Source organism: Homo sapiens, chromosome 1, assembly GCF_000001405.40.
Source record: "Homo sapiens chromosome 1, GRCh38.p14 Primary Assembly".
Lineage (NCBI taxonomy): Eukaryota > Metazoa > Chordata > Mammalia > Primates > Hominidae > Homo > Homo sapiens.
Window position 1 is genome coordinate 202,665,423 of NC_000001.11, and position 16,586 is coordinate 202,682,008.

The window sequence follows — 16,586 nt, forward strand, 5'->3', positions numbered from 1 at the left end:
AAGGCCCTTGTCACAGAGACAGGCAGATGAATATGTGATGCCTGGTGTTTCTTCTGGACTAAAGCAACCAAGGGAAAAGTCTGTTTGGAGCTCTGACTCCTGGGCCTTCAGATAGTCTATAGCTGGGAAGATAAAGCTACTTTAAAAGTCTCCAGCTGCGACATCCTACAAGGCCAGAAGAGTGGGGTCATTGCTTCATGAATTATGGGTCTGTTTCCATACTTCCTCATTTTCTACACACCAGGATCTCTTGGGAGGGCCTCGGTGCACCTTTCTCTCCTCATTTGCTCTTCTCTCCCTCCCCCGCATCTGTCTCTTGCTCCTTTCCACATTCATTGGTCATCAGTGAAATGTTTACACTTGTTTTGTTGTTTATTAAATGGAGATTTGTGATCATGATTTCTAATTTAAGAAGCAAATCACAAATTTATTTCTTTAAAAAGCTAACTAGCCGGGCGCTGTGGCTCACACCTGTAATCCCAGCACTTTGGGAGGCCGAGGCAGGCGGATCACAAGGTCAGGAGATCGAGACCATCCTGGCTAACATGGTGAAACCCCGTCTCTACTAAAAATACAAAAAATTAGCCGGGCGTGGTGGCGGGCGCCTGTAGTCCCAGCTACTCGGGAGGTTGAGGCAGGAGAATGGCGTGAACCAGGGAGGCGGAGCTTGCAGTGAGCCGAGATCGTGCCACTGCACTCCAGCCTGGGCGACAGAGCGAGACTCCGTCTCAAAAAAAAAAAAAAAAAAAGCTAAAATAAGATAGTTTTGTGAGCAGCTCTCAGCAGGAAAAAAAGATTATCTAGTCCCTGGTCCTCATGATGCCAAACAATTAATTTCACTTAAATTTCCCCAGTGATCAGACAGCTTGACTGGCTGTTTCATCAGAATCTAGATCCAGTTTGCTGGTGAAAATGGTAGCATTCTCTTCCCTCAAAGAAGATTCCCAACCAGGAAATCAGGACAGACCAATACCCTACAGAGCAAACCTAGAATGCGGAGGGCCCAGGATTTTGCATCTTCTTTAGGCCCACACATAATGTACAGAGAGGAGAGGGTTTGAAGGCTGAATACTGGGGATGCTGGGGTAGGGCAGGAGAAGAGAACAATCTCTCCGTGATAAACACCTACCATTTCAGAGGTATGTCACAGACGCAGCCCAAAGTGAATGACTTTATCGGTCTATTGAGACTCTCTGGGACCAATGTGCTTACCATGGTGAGTCAGAGCACCCGGCCCCTAATCCTCTTATTAAATTCACTGTTTGAAAGACCTAGAAGGCCAGGCACGGTGGCTCATGCCTGTAATCCCAGCACTTTGGGAGGCCAAGATGGGCGGATCACCTGAGGTCAGGAGTTCAAGACCAGCCTGGCCAGCATGGCAAAACCCCGTCTCTACCAGAAATACAAAAATTAGCCGGGTGTGATGGCAGGTGCCTGTGATCCCAGGTACTCAGGAGGCTGAGGCAGGAGAATCACTTGAACTCAGGAGGTAGAGGTTGCAATGAGACAAGATCACACCATTGCACTCCAGCCTGGGCAACTGAGCGAAACTCTGTCTCAAAAAAACAAAACGTACAAAACAAACAAAAACCCAAAAGATTGTCATTATGTTCTCTTTCCCATATAAAGGATTCCTCTCTATTTGTCCCAGAGTATTTAAGCCTTATGAATCTTATAGTAATTTAACAGTTGATAGAGAACTGAGAAGTAAGGCGGGGAAAAGACTCAACCGAAAGGAAAACAGTATTAAAGAGCTACTACCACTCCTAGGGCTGGGAGGAAAAAAAGGAGGAGGTGGTGTTATTGGGACCCAGAATCTGGGGCCTTCTATTAAAAACTAGATCCATAGAGGAAACACAACTACTGCCAGAGAGGCCACTTGAGGCAAAGAGAGAAAGGGATTCTCCCCTCCTCCCACCCTACAGTCTCCACCAACGCCTGCCTGTGGCTGAACCTACCCAGAATCCACTTGTCAGGGGAGCTTGGGAAATGTAGTTTGCTGAGCAGAGGAAAGGATCTAAAGACAACAGGCAAGTGACCAGCCGTGTGTGTGTGTGTGTGTGTGTGTGTGTGTGTGTGTGTGTGTGTGTGTACCTTCCTGTGTGTATTTATCAGAAAGAGTTGTGGATACTTTATTTTACAGTGGTCATTCTAAATAAACCACATTGGTATGTGTAACCATGAAGATTACATCAATCAATAAGTCAGTCAATACAAAAGTCCCATGAGAGTAATGGACTGAGCCCACAGTAGGCTTCTCAGATATTTTCTTTTATTTTTATTTTATTTTATTTTATTTATTTATTTTGAGATGGAGTCTTGCTCTGTCGAGCAGGCTGGAGTGCAGTGGCATGATCTTGGCTCATTGCAACCTCTGCCTCCCGGGTTCAAGCGATTCTCCTGCCTCAGCCTCCTGAGTAGCTGGGATTACAGGCACCTGCCACCACACCCAGCTAATTTTTGTATTTTTAGTAGAGACAAGGTTTCGCCATGTTGCCCAGGCTGGTCTCGAACTCCTGACCTCGTGATCTGCCCACCTCGGCCTCCCAAAGTGCTGGGATTACAGGCGTGAGCCATCGCGCCCGGCCCAGATATTTTCAGGCAATCCTCCCTCTCAGCACCATCAAAGCCTATGCAGCAGTTCAACAGCACACAAATAAATGGAGAAGGACATTTTGGTGGGAACAGAATAGAGGCAGAAGATCTATAGCCCCCCAGAGTATAAAATCATTGAATATATTGTAGGGCTCCAACACTCATAGTCACAGACACGTGGAGACATGGGCTCACACATCTCTCGTGCGCTCATCCACATCTGTTGGTACACTCAGACACACTCAGATAAACTGGTTAAGACACATGTCTGCTTCAAGTCTTTTTTTCATTACGGTCTAAACCTCTCAGGTGTGATGTGGGAGATAAATAGAACAGTATATGTGAAAGTGCTTTATAAAGTTGATAGCATATTACTCAAATAAATGCAAAAATATAATCGAGATTATATTTTCATTCTGTAGTTTGTTAAGAGTGAAAACTGCTAGCAATGTTTATAGGTAGAATTACTATAAGATCCACAGGGTTTAAAAGCTCTGGGGCAAATAGAGAGAAATCCTTTATTTGGGGAAGAGAACATAATGACAACATTCATTTATCAAGTGCTTACTACATGCCAGACCTGTGCTAGCCATTTTATGTGCATTATGCTACCTAGGAGAATAATAATTCCTTGCCTTGAAGTATTTCTTATAGGCAGGCATTACTCTGCCCATTTTCCAGAATAAAAGCAGGTAACTTGCATAAGAGCTCATGGCCACCAAGGGACAGAGCTGGGATTTGGGCTTGAATCTGTCTGACTCCAAGGCCCAACCACCACTCCATAAGGCATCTCCTCAAAGACAGGGTGGCGAGGCACTGACCGATGGCCCCTGGGCAACTGGATGACCTGAGTGTTGAAGCCACATGCATCTCTTGAAGTAGAAGCCAAGAGGAGGCTTGTTACATCAGGTAGAAATGACTGGCTGAGTAGGAGGAAATCTTGTAGTAATCAGGTATCTGTCTGTGTCTCATTTATGTCAAGCCTTCAGGAATTCGGGACCTGTTGATGTTTCTGAAAGTCTAGGGTACAGTTAATAAATTCAGCATGCATTAATTCCACACAAGCCATGAAAATATCAGTGAGGCTAAGCAACTACTAACACAAAGTGAGATACTGTGAGTCACATAACTAGACAAAATCTTTGCATCTCTTTACATCTTGCATTAAATTGTGCACTAAAATACTGTTTAGAAATACTAATGTTTAATTTTTATCTTTAGCACAGGCATGATGGCTCACACCTGTAATCCCAGCACTTTGGGAGGCTGAGGCAGGAGGATCACTTGAGCTCAGGTGATTGGGACCAACGGGGCAACATAGTGAGACCTTGTCTGTACAAAAAAATAATTTAGGCTGGACGCGGTGGCTCACACCTGTAATCCCAGCACTTTGGGAGGCCGAGGCGGGTGGATCATGAAGTCAGGAGTTCAAGACCAGTCTGGCCAAGATGGTAAAACCCCATCTCTACTAAAAATACAAGCAGAGAATTGCTTGAACCTGGGAGGGGGAGGTTGCAGTGAGCCGAGATCACACCATTGCACTCCAGCCCGGGTGACGGTGCAAGACTGCATCTCAAAAAAAAAAAATTAAATTAGCTGGGCCTAGTGGTGGACGCCTGTGGTCTCAGTTAATCAGAGGCTGACGTGGGAGGATCACTTGAGCCCAGGAGGTCAACGCTGCAGTGAGGCATGATCATACCACTGAACTCCGGCTTGGATGACAGAGTGAGACCCTGTCTCAAAAAAAAAAAAAAAAGACCACCCACAATTCTTATCTTTAATAGATTTCAAGACCATAGTTGAGTAGAAAGACACGAAACATGTCTCTCATTCAGTCAACCTACCTGGGAGCCCTGGCCTTTCAGATCTGGGCATAACCGAGGCACTGTCATCTGCCTGGTGACAGCTTATCCTCATTGGTGTAAAAGCAGAGGGCGTGATGAATACAAAGCTTGCAGGTCCAGATCCATTGAACAACAGTGCCACCCACACCCCAACATTCATCAGCACACCTGTACTCACTGACATATGCCAGCACTCGTGAGGAAGGAGGGCTTGTGGCAACCCAAGAGGGAGAAAGATTCAGAGAATACCACTAATGCTATCAGCCAGGGGTCCTAAGAGAGGCGTTTTCAGTGTTTAGGGCAATGCAGGAATGTTAGAATTTAGCCTCTCTGCAGTTTGTGAGGTCCCATGAGTGACCCGGCCTCACAGGAGCACTGGGAACAGACAGAGAAGGAACTGAGAAGATACTGTTACTCCTGAAGCTGAGGAACCTAGGCCAAGACAGCATGGGATTGCAGGATCATAGAGAAGTGGGAGCATCGGGCACTCAACCCTTTAACCCCTGCATTGCTAAATTTCCTTTGGTGCCCAGGGAGCTACTGGCTGAAAACTGTGGTGGGGCTTCTGAGGTTCCAAGGAGCTGAAGAGCCACAGAATCCCCCAAGCCCAGCTAGCTCTCCCTGGGTATTCACATTCTTCCTTCAGTCATTAAATGTCTAGAAAAATGAAGGGGGAGGGGGAAGAGGAGCACAACTCCACTGGGCACTAAATCAAGATTAATGAAGTTCTCACCAGGATTAATTACTCACTCCCTAGTTGCTGTGAGCATAACATGGCCATGACCATTTGTAACGGCCAAGTCTGGTTGGAACAACATGGGTGGGCGAGATGGGTGACTTAGGCCTCTCCACACCTAATGTTTGAAAGCAGCTGTCAAGGGAGCAGCATGAAAGGAAGGTGTCCCTGCAGCCTTGGGTCATTGCTCTGTATTAAAATTCATCTTTTGTTTGTCCCAGTCTGTTCTGATCAATGTGGGCTCTGACTAATCATACACAGCCATCGGTATCATTGATAAAACAAGGAGAATAACTGATTTAACGACCTGTGGATGGGGCTGGATTCTAAATGTTCACCATCCCAAGGCCACCCAGTGATCTCTGCTGGGTCAGCTGGGCCTGAGTCTGTTCACCTGGTCAGGGTTGATACAGGCGAGGCCAAAGAACCAATCCTTTGTGATAAGCAGCCCGCCACTCCCATCGGCGATCAGCTAGCCTAATGAAGCAGTCAGACCAGCAAAACTCCCATCTGCACCAGCCTTCAACCCCTGTGAGGGGCAATAGGGGCCCCTCCTTTTAGAAACAAAGTCATGATCAGCCTTCCCCACCTTTGAGAAAAGAACTCAAAGAGGACTGGGGAAAGCATGAGAACCAGAGGCAGCCCCTGATCTGTCAAGGCCTTGGAGTTGGAGCCAGAGGAAAGTGCTGCCACTCCTGCCTGCCTGGGACAAGCTCATGGCGGTGGAGGCCAGTCCCCAGCACAGCACCAGGGCAGCCAACTGTGCATGGGCCAAGGCGGAGAGACCCATTTTTAGCGAGGGAATTTAGGCCGTCAAGATCGACCCTCCCACTGAGGAAAAAAGTTTGATGAAATACAAAAAGCACCTAAACAGTGTCAAAGACAAGCTAGTGAGGAAATGCTGGGCCCAAATCTAGAAGACAACAAAAACCCAGAGCTGGAAGTCGCTTTTGCCCTGAGGGCATTTGTCCCTCAGGAGGAAACTGCTGAGAAATTCAGCTTGGCTGGGCTCACTTTTGGCAGCCTCCCAGGCCTAGAGAAACGAAAGTCAATAATGTCCAGAATCCACCAAGGCAGGCCTTTGATAAACTACCTATTGCTTTAGAATCGACCCCAAAGGGGCTCATCCCTTACATGCAGAACAAAACCAGATGGGCTTCTAAGCTGACTTCACTCTCTGGCCATGAAAACTTAAGCCCTGAACTTGAATGAAGCTTCCCTGCCCTAAGAATGCCCCCAGGCACACTGCAGAAGCTAAAAAAATTATCTCTGAATAAAAGAATAAAAATAAAAAAGAAAGAAAAATTTCTCTCCAGGGAAGATAGCAAATGATTTGTCAAAAACAATGCTTACTACATAATTAAAGGAACTCAGGCACACAAAGAAACAAGACACCTTGAGAAAGAACTGTCAGGAACAACAGATAACAGAAAGAGATCCACAGGGACTCCAGATAGGGGAACGGCAGGTACTGATTATAAAACAACTATGTTTTCAGTATCAAGTAAATAAAAAGCCAACATCGAAAATTTCAGCAAATAGCCAGAAACTGTAAAACGTGCCACATGATAGTTTGAAAACAATAAAATATAAAGCTTATAATTGACAAATGCAGTGCTATGGACTGAATGTTTGCGTCCTCCCAAAATTCATATGTTGAAATTCGTTTAACCCCCAGTGTGATGGTATTTGGAAGTGGGACCTTTGGGAGAGAATTAGGTTTAGATGAGGCCATGAAATGGGGGTCCTCTGCCATGGGAAGAGGATGTAGCCAGAAGGCTGACATCTGCGAGCCAGGAAGAGGGCCCTCACCCAGAACCACATCTGCCAGCACCTTGATCTTAGACTTCCAGTCTCCGGAACTGTGAGAAATAAAGGTCTGTTGTTTAAGACACCCAGTCTATGGCATTTCATTTTAGCGGCTGGTGCAGACTAATATGGTAAGATTGTATGTTATTGTATTTACATACAATAACTGAAAATACAAGTTCAATGAACAGATATAATCTCAAGTTTAACACAGCTGAAGAAGACATTAATGAACTGGAAAGCAGATCAGAAGAAATAATCCAGAACACAGTGGTTAAAACTTGGCAGAAGCAGAATAAAGGGTAAAAGAGGATGAGAAGAAAACAGACATTTCATTGGAATTACAGGTGGGAAATGAGAGAGGGAGGGAGGGAGAGAGAGAGAGAGGCTAAGGCAACACTTGAGGAGAGAAAGGCAGAAGATACCCAGACCTGATAAAATATATCAATCCACAGATTCAAGAAACCCAACAAATCCCAAGCAGCAAAAAATAAAAAGAAAGTCATGTCTAGACATATCACAGGAAAACTGCAGAAAACTAAAGAAAAAGTCTTAAAAATGTAGAGCCGAAATAACCAAACTAGCAGCTGGGAGGGCAGTACAGGCTCCAGCTGTCTCACAATATCCAAACGTTTGCTAGTGTGTAAACTAAATGAAAATATTTTTCATTTCTTGCCCAGAAATCTGGGCTTATGGATGGTGTTATAAGAAAATCTTGGAGATGGGAAACAAAAGAAAATAACATATTAGCCATCCTCCAAGTGTAGATGGTGGGCTTGGGTTTACTGAACATTTTAATAAATCATCTGAAAAGGGGAAAATGTCTGAACTATAAGTACTATTAAGTCTTCTAGAATAAACAGCAAGACCCTGTGTGGCAGGTCAGCTTCAGCGTTGGAACATGTAAGTTAAAAGGTACGTGAAAATGGACCCAACGATATAATAAAATCATGGGCCTGGACCCTCAGTTACATTGCAGGAAAGAATCAGTAATTCACATCTAAATCAGGCCCAAACAAACCAAAAATGTATCAATGTTCTGTGTCCATACTCTGAAAAGTTTGGAGTGAGTTTTGACTCAACAAGTACTTTTCCTCCCTGAATGGATCCAATGAGATGGATGTTTCTGTGTCACGAAGATCGATGCTCACCCACATCCTTAGGTCCCAACAGCTCCAGTTGAAGGGACACATTACCCAGGGAATGAGGCCATAGTTACCTTGGGGTGACCTCCAGGAAGACTTGCCCGCACACCCAGCTCCTTTCCTTGCCCTGGACAGCCCCAGCTGCCGGCACACCCCTTGCAGATTTACTACTCTGTTCCCATGGCTGTCTCCAGCCACCTCTAGTTTCTCAGCCTTTAATGCATTTTCTACATCTGTACAAGATTTATTCGAGGCAGGGAGATTTATTTAGCACATTTATGCTCAACAGAGAAGACAATTCCTCACAGAGTTCTGATCTCATTTGCCATTAGAAGCCTGAATGAGATTGCCTGGCTGATGGGCAGTGACAGTTGGCTGGTTCTGGGTAGGAGTGGATATGGGAACCTGCCGTTACATACATGTGATATTTGTGTGTAATACATGAAGGTCTATGTGGCAGGTTAATGTGTATTTTTTTTAATGTGTGAGTATTCTTGTGTGGGTATGTGTGTGAATTTCTGAACAATGGGAGAGCACAGGTATATTTATTTGTTTTATTTTATTTTTTGAGACAGAGTCTCACTCTGTCACCTGGGCTGGAGTGCGGTGGTGTGATCTTGTGTCGCTGCAACCTCCGCCTCCTGGGTTCAAGCAATTCTCGTGCCTCAGCCTCCTGAGTAGCTGGGATTACAGGCGTGTACCACCACGTGCAGCTAATTTTTGTATTTTTAGCAGAGGCAGGGTTTTGCCATATTGGCCAGGCTGGTCTCGAACTCCTGACCTCAGTTAATCCGCCCACCTCAGCTTCCCAAAGTGCTGGGATTACAGGCATGAGCCACCGCGCCTGGCCTAGGTGTTTTTAATTATGCATATACCCCAGTGTTAGCATGGTCCATCTGAGCATATGAACATCTGTGTGGAAGGATGTGAAAGTCTGTGTAATATGATGTGATATGTACACATGTGTGAATATAGAAATATGAGCTTTGATAAATGGCTGCAAGTACTTAGTGAGATTATGTGTGTTCAATCACTCATCCATATCTGTATAACTGATGGGAGTATGATCTGTTACCAGCCTAAGGATTCTTTTCAAATGGTAAACCAAATCATCTCTCCTCAGCTTAAAATTTTCCAAGGACTCCCATTGCACTTGGTATGAAACCCCTACTGTTTAATCTGACCTCAGCAGTCCAGGCCTCCCACTTCACTGGCCGCAGCTCTGCTCTCTCACCTTCACACACTGCTCTGGTCACACTGGCCTCCCACATGTCCCCTCCAGACACCCTCAGACTGGCCGGCCCCCTCCCCCACTGCCCAGCATGCTCTGCCCTGAGCACCACCCCAATAATCTCAATGTCATGATCTCAGCCTGCTTCGCCTCCTTCAGAGCACTTACTACCATCTGAAGTTATCTTGTTCAGAACTCACCTTGTTTATTGTCTGTCCATGCCTCCCAAGAAAATGCCAGGTGCTCAGAGAGGGCCATGGCTTTCTTGTTTATTACAGCATCCCCTGAACAGTGCTGGGTGCACAGGAGGGCCCAGTAGTTAACTGTTGAATGAGGACTGTGTATGTGTGACCATATGATGTCTGCATATGTGCACTAGGATGTCTACTAAGGAAAAATAAGATGTGGTGAATACTGAGCACGTTGGGCACATGAATGAGTCTGTATGACCATATATTTAACGTGCAGTCATTCATTTAACAAATTACTTTCAAGTAAGTGTGTGCCAAACACACTAATAGGCCCTGCTCTCATTGAGCTTACAGTCTTGTGGGAGAGACACACACTAAATAATTATATATATAATTAATATATATTATAATAATTATATAATATATATACACAATTGAAAATTATGTGAAGACTATTAATGCAAAGCATAGACAGCCATGAAAGTATTTGACCAGGGACCACAGTTGAGTTGGGAGCTCAGCAAAGTCTTTCCCAAGGGGCTGGAGTCACTCTGAGATCTTCAGGGACTCAGGGAAAGGCTGGGCTTTTCTGTTTCTAACCCACATGTGGATATGTGCACTTGCAAATGTTATCACTAGAGGTCCTGGACACCGAGCAGGAAGAATCCCAGTCCTCAAGAATGGGACATACTCATTCACTGATACCCAAATGGATTTCTCACATGATCTGCTGGCTGGTTCCCTTCCACCTTACCCCATTTCCTCTAACCGGTCCAAGCAGCCAGGCTAATAATCCTGAAACAACACCTAGAGGACCAAATTAAAGCTCTCCAGCTTAGGGTCAAGCCACCTGTCATCTGACCCTAGCTTGAATAGTAATCATTCCTAACCTCTTTTGAGCATTTACCATGTGTTAGGTGCATTACACTGTGCTAAACACTTTGCATCTTTCCATTTAATCCTCACAGCCAGTTTAGGCAGGCGTTACTATGTCTATTTTACAGATGAGGAAACTGATAACTTGTCCTTCTAGTCATCTCACTAGTAATTGACAAGCCAGGTTCAATCCCAACCCAACTCACTTCAAAGGCCAGTCTCACTAAGGCCACCGCCTTTCCACCCCTGCAGCCAGTTGGATGTCTCACTGTTGCTCCAGCCCAGGGTACGCAGGCTGTGGTCCTAACTACAGAATGCCCATCTTCCTCCCTTCCCCCCACCCAATTCAGAGTCTGCTCAAGTCCCACTTCCCACATTCAACCACATTTATTGAACCAGGTGCCCTCCAGGGAGTTGGGGACAAGGAAATAGATGAGATGCCATCCTGGCCTGGAGGAGCCCATGGGGCAGAGAATCCTTCCCAAAGCCAGCTCTTAGCTCAACATCCATCCTTTCCCACCCTCTCTGAACTCCTCTACTCAGCTTACAAACCTTCTCCCCATCCATGGGTATCTGTCTGTCTGTTTGCATATCTTACAACACCTAGCATGCAGACCCTCATTCAATTCATTCTGATTCTGTTCCTCTTTACCTTTCTTGCTGAAGCTTCTGCTTAAACAATTGGCATGAATCTTGCATTTCAGATCAGACAACCGGCTCAGCTTTTTGGATATAATAGTGCTGATCAAAACAGAAGCTTTTCCCAGGCTAGCATTTTGGCTTCAATAATAGAAGGCTACACTGAAATCAAATTCATGATATTGCTAACAGCTCCTCCTCACTCCCTGGACCTGAACACCAGCCATGACAGGTATAAAAAAGTAAGTTCAGCTCTAAATTTCACAAACATAATGCTGAGTGAGAAAAAGCAAGTTAAAGAATATAGACTATAAAATACTGTTTATGTAAAAGCTTTGCTATGGTTTGGCCCTATGTCCCCACCCAAATCTCATGTCTAATTGTAATCCCCACATGTTGAAGGAGAGGCCTGGTGGGAGGTGACTGAATCATGGGGGCAGACTTCCCCCTTGCTGTTCTCATGATAGAGTTCTCATGAGATCCGATTGTTTGAAAGAGTGTAGCACTTCCACCTTTGTTCTCTCTCTCTCCTGCTCTGGCCATGTGAATACAGTACCTGCTTCTCCTTCACTTTCTGCCACGATTGTAGATTTCCTGAGGCCTCCCAGCCATGCCTACTGTACAGCCTGTGGAACTGTGAGTTGATGAAATCTCTCTTCTTCATAAGTTACCCAGTCTCAGGTAGTTCTTTACAGCAGTGTGAGAACAGACAAATACAGGTTTTAAATACATATGTGGCAGATTCTCATCTCCCATCCCACATGTTCTTCTGATAATGTGACTTTGATGTTGAGAGAGAGGGTCTGTGTACCCTCTCCTTGAAATTGATGGATTTTGTTACTGCTTTGACCAGTAAATTATGGCAGAAGTGACGCTACATGACTAAGGCTAGGTAATGAAAATGTAATGCACTTCCACCTTGTTCTCTTAGGCACTTATTCTTGGAGACCAGCCACCATGCTGTGAGGAAGCTCAAGAAGTCCATGGAGGGATCCATATGGAGAAGAACAGAAAGCCCTGGCCCACAGTCCCCACTGAATTCCCAGCTGATGGCCAGCCCCAACTCGCCATGTGAATGAGCTATGTTGAAAGTAGATCCTCCAGGGGCCCCAAAGAAACAGACACCATGTGGAACAGAGATGAACCATCCCAGCTGAGCCCTGCTCAAACTGTAGATTTCTGATCAAAGTAAATGATTGTTTTTGTTTTAGGCCACTAATTTGAGGTGGTTTATTATAAGGTGTTTCATATTGTCAGGTAAACCCGACACTATATGATTTATGAAATATGAACAGCAAAATCATCATGGGTGCTTTTGAGGAAGTGGATAAGGAGTAAAATCTCCAAAAGGGATTTTAGCTTTACCTGTGATGGCTTACATACATACCTACATTTTTATAAAGAAGAATGTGTACATATATTATTTGTGTTGTTCTTAACTATACAGGGAAAAAGACTGACCAAACATTAACATTTGTTATTTCTGTGAAAATGGATGATTGGGGCCAGGCACAATGGCTCATGCCTGTAATCCCAGCACTTTGAGAGGCCAAGGCGGGTGGATCACTTGAGGTCAGGAGTTCAAGACCAGCCTGGCCAATGTGGCGAAACCTTGTCTGGACTAAAAATACAATAATTAGCCAGGCGTGGTGGCAGGCATCTGTGATCCCAGCTACTTGGGAGGCTGAGGCACAAGAATCATTTGAACCTGGAAGGCAGAGGTTGCAGTGAGCCGAGATCGTGCCACTGCACTCCAGCCTGAGTGACAGAGCGAGACTCTGTCTCAAAAAAAAAAAAAAAAAAAAAAAAAAAACTAATAAAATAAAATGGATGCTTGTACTTTTCTGCTCTGTTAACCTTTCTAAATTTTTTTTTAAATATGGCACTGCAAAGATTCTATGACTGAGGTAAGATCAGATTTAGCGTCTGTGATTTGGAGACTGCATCTGTTTCTTTCACCATCTCTCCAACTCTCCACCTCTTCTCTTCTTTCATCTTTTCATTCCAAGGCTCACCCAGTGCCCCTCCCTCTCTGAGATCCTGTTTTCATACGGCTCCCTTAATGTTCATGTCCCTCCCTGAAATCTGTATTCAGTCTCTTTCTCTGGGGCTTCCCCCCTCCCTATAGGCCTCGAGAGGTACTGTCCTTAGTCCTTTACAAGGTCAGTCCCTTCACTTAACCCCTCCTGCCTCTGATAGGATCCTGCTCGCCAACTGTCCCCAAACTTCCTTCTACCTTCAACTCACTTTGCCTCTCCCATCTACAGATAAGCTCAAGTTTGTACCATTTATAAATTAAAACACAGATGACCTCCAGCTACCCACATGCATCTCTTCTTCCCAATACAGACGTGTGGCTGTTCCCTGCTGCCACGTTCAGAGTCTCCACCCCCCACCCAACTACTGACCCAACGCCCTACATTCTGACACACATCGCCCTACATTCTGAACCCTTCTTAACCAATGAAACAGCTTTCAGAGGTCCCCAGTGGCCTCTGAAATGCCGGTTCTCAAGGACACTTCTGCCCCATCTGCCTTGGCCATGCAAGCATTTGCCAAGGGCCACACCCCTTCTGCCCTCTCTCCCTTGCTCTGGGGCGACGCCCATCTCTCACTCCCCTCCTACTGCTCCTTCCCTCCGCTCAGCTTCTTCTCCTTAGCTGCTGAGCAGGAGGAGAAGCTGGTCCCACTGGTGTCAGCATCCCCCAGAGGTCTCTGCCGACTCCCTTCTCTGTCTCCCTCCTGTTCCCTTCCTACAGCTGCCTTGATGGTGAAGACTCCCTCTCTTCTCCTAGGGCTTGGGCCTCCCCTGAACACCAGCCCTCCCCCCACCAATTGCAGCTGTTTATTGGTAATTACCCAAAGGTAACTCAAACTCCCCATATCCAAACTAAACTAATTCTTTCCCTCAAATCAGGCCCAGTCTTGCTCCTATATTTCCCTTCTCAGCTCCAGGCACCATCATTGACTCAGTTGTCTGGTTCGGAGGCTTAGAAATCATCACAGAGCTTCCTTTTGCTTTATCTCCCACTTATAATTGGTTAGCAAGTTTGGTGCATTACTCTTCCTAATTAGCTCTCAAATGCAGACTCTGTCTCCCAGAGGCCCAGGCCCTCATCATTTCTCACCTAGATTCCACAATTACCTCCTAACTACTTTCCCTGCAGTCTGCACCACTCCCCTTCAAACCAGGAGTCACATGTCTGCCAGAGTGAACTTTCTAAAAGGCACATCTGGTCATATCATGTCCCTGCTTAATATCCTTCAATGGAAAAAACTCCAAACTCCTTAGCCCAGCATTCAAGGCCCTTCATGATCCAGCCTCCTCCCTTCTTTCTAGCTTCAACCCCTCCCAGGCCCTCACTCAGATTCCAGGCTTCCTTCAGCCCTCAATGCTGTGCCACACTTTTCTACTGTCATCCATGTTGCTTTCTCTGCCGAGAATGCCCCTATTCATCAAACGACCTCTACTCCTCCCTCAAAACATCTATCAAATGTCACCTCCTCTGGAAGACCAGTTCTTAGCATGACCAGTGTTCCCTCCTTCTGAATCCCATATCGCTGTACTGAACTAATAGTTTGCATGTCAGTTTCCCCAGGATATGCACTCTCTGAAAGGAGGGGCCATGGCTATTTGTTTCTATATCCCAGAGCCCAGCACAGGCCTGCACTTAGTTGGGCCTCCATACATTTTGCCTAAATATAGAGCTTCCTAAAATCAAACCTGAAAATTCAGAGGATTCAAATTAATATAGGCCATTATGTAATTGGTGCTGAAATGGGGAACTAGAACATACCAGTTTCTGCCCCTAGGAGCCATAGAAAATTGGACCTACCTATGGAATCTTTGTGAATGATTCTTTCTCTCATACATAGAACCTTTTGATGATTAAATTTGCCACTGTTGGCCAGGTATGGAGGCTCATGCCTGTAATGCCAACACTCTGGGAGGCCAAGGCAGGAGATCACTTGAGCCCAAGAGGATGAGGCTGAAGTGAGCTATGATCATGCCGCTGCCCTCCAGCCTGGGAAACAAAGTGAGACCCTGTCTCAAAAAAACCCACAACATTATCACTGTTATAACCAATGGGGCAAGAAGATGGGAAGGGAATGAGAAGGTGCCCAAGGGGAGAAAGAGAGAGTTACCCCAAATCCTACTTAACCACACAATTGGCATTATTCCCACTCATTCCCAGCTTCTTCCTTGCCCCTCTCTGCTTTTCTCCATCTAAAAACATTCCCAGAGAGTTGAAGCCCTTGCCCCTATCCAACACCTGTGGTGCTGTCCAACAAGCAAATTCCTGAAGACAAAGGGGCATGCAGAGTGGTGGTGTGATCCCATCATTCTAGAGCTTGCATGTGGATTTCCGTAAACTCCACTGCCTATTGTAGGCCCTGGGAAAATAGGGCTGGGCTAAGCTGGCAGGTGATTTGAGGAGCAAGAGAAGAACCCTTGACAAAAACACTGTTTCCCCATCACTGCTTCTACCTGAAGCCACCATGATGCCTCTGACATGGGTCTCTGTTCAAGCCCTCCCTCAAATGCAGTCCAGCTAATGCCTCAGTGAGGTGTTAGATCACTCCAAATGGCCAGATCCTCCCCACCCCTGGTCCCACCCTGGCTCCTGGTCTCACCTAGATCAAGCCACACCCCTCCTCCTGCCCCCAGCCACAGCCAAGCCATAAGAAGCTCACTTTCCCTTGCTGCCCACAACCCTCTCACCCTCCTAGGAGCCGCCCCTCCCACTGCCATCCCTGAAAGCTGCATAAGGGATCCTCCCTCCATCCAAACTGCCCCAGAGGTGAGAGGGAGAGTTAAAGGGAAGAGTCCTGGGGTCAGAGCCCAGGAAATTAAAAGTGAGAGCCAGCAGCTGCGGAGAATCCTCCACCGCCACTGGTGTCTCGTCTTATTTAACTGGAGAAATCCCCAGAGCAGGGTCCTTAACTTCTCCTGCCATGGCCCCGCTGGCAGCAGGGAGCACTCAGGAAATGTTAAGTAAAATATCTAAGAGGCTCCCCGCTGAAAGCCCTTCATCCTTAGGCGGATAAAAAGCTTCAGACCAGAGTGTATGATCTTGAGCCCTGAGGGCAAAGGCATGAGCTTGGCCCAGATTCAAAAAGGAACAGAGAGCAGGACCAGCCTAATGATCGGTGGGCAGGGATGTTGTCCTCTGGGTAAGGGGACGGCAGGTCCTCAGATGGCTGCTTGGATGACTCCCCAGCCATAGACATGTGTGGCACCAAGCATCCCCACTCCCCTGCCAGTCTGGGCTAGTAGCACCAATAAATCAGCTGAGCAGTCAGGGGATGGAAGGATTCATGTCTCCCAGCACCGCCTGGCCAGTGAGGCAGGACTCAGGGTGCCTGGAGCAGATATAAGCAATGCTGCTTGCTTGAGAGCAATTATGAGCCTCCGTGGGGATCAGATCCAAGACCGTGACCTCATCAGCTACCCCTTCAAAAAGCCAACCATGGAGCTGCTGACAGCTCCACCTGATGAGGCCAGGGCCACGGTGGCTG

The 16,586-nt window shown here is 46.2% G+C and overlaps 1 protein-coding gene across 2 annotated transcripts in view, besides 2 other annotated features; it reads right to left on the reverse strand.

Moving 5' to 3' along the window:
• The window catches only part of SYT2 (synaptotagmin 2), a 119,859-nt gene that overhangs the window by 74,827 nt on the left and 28,446 nt on the right, over positions 1–16,586 (reverse strand). The window lies entirely within an intron of this gene.
• Positions 5,893–6,393: an enhancer, noted in NCBI's record as "H3K4me1 hESC enhancer chr1:202640443-202640943 (GRCh37/hg19 assembly coordinates)". NCBI's record gives its function as "activates a minimal SCP1, AML or CMV promoter by ChIP-STARR-seq in naive H9 embryonic stem cells {active_cell/tissue: H9 hESC(naive)}" and the evidence as "EXISTENCE:reporter gene assay evidence [ECO:0000049][PMID:30033119]".
• Positions 11,422–11,590: a silencer, noted in NCBI's record as "fragment chr1:202645972-202646140 (GRCh37/hg19 assembly coordinates)". NCBI's record gives its function as "represses an EF-1alpha promoter that drives an FKBP-Casp9 reporter gene in an ReSE screen in K562 erythroleukemia cells {active_cell/tissue: K562}" and the evidence as "EXISTENCE:reporter gene assay evidence [ECO:0000049][PMID:32094911]".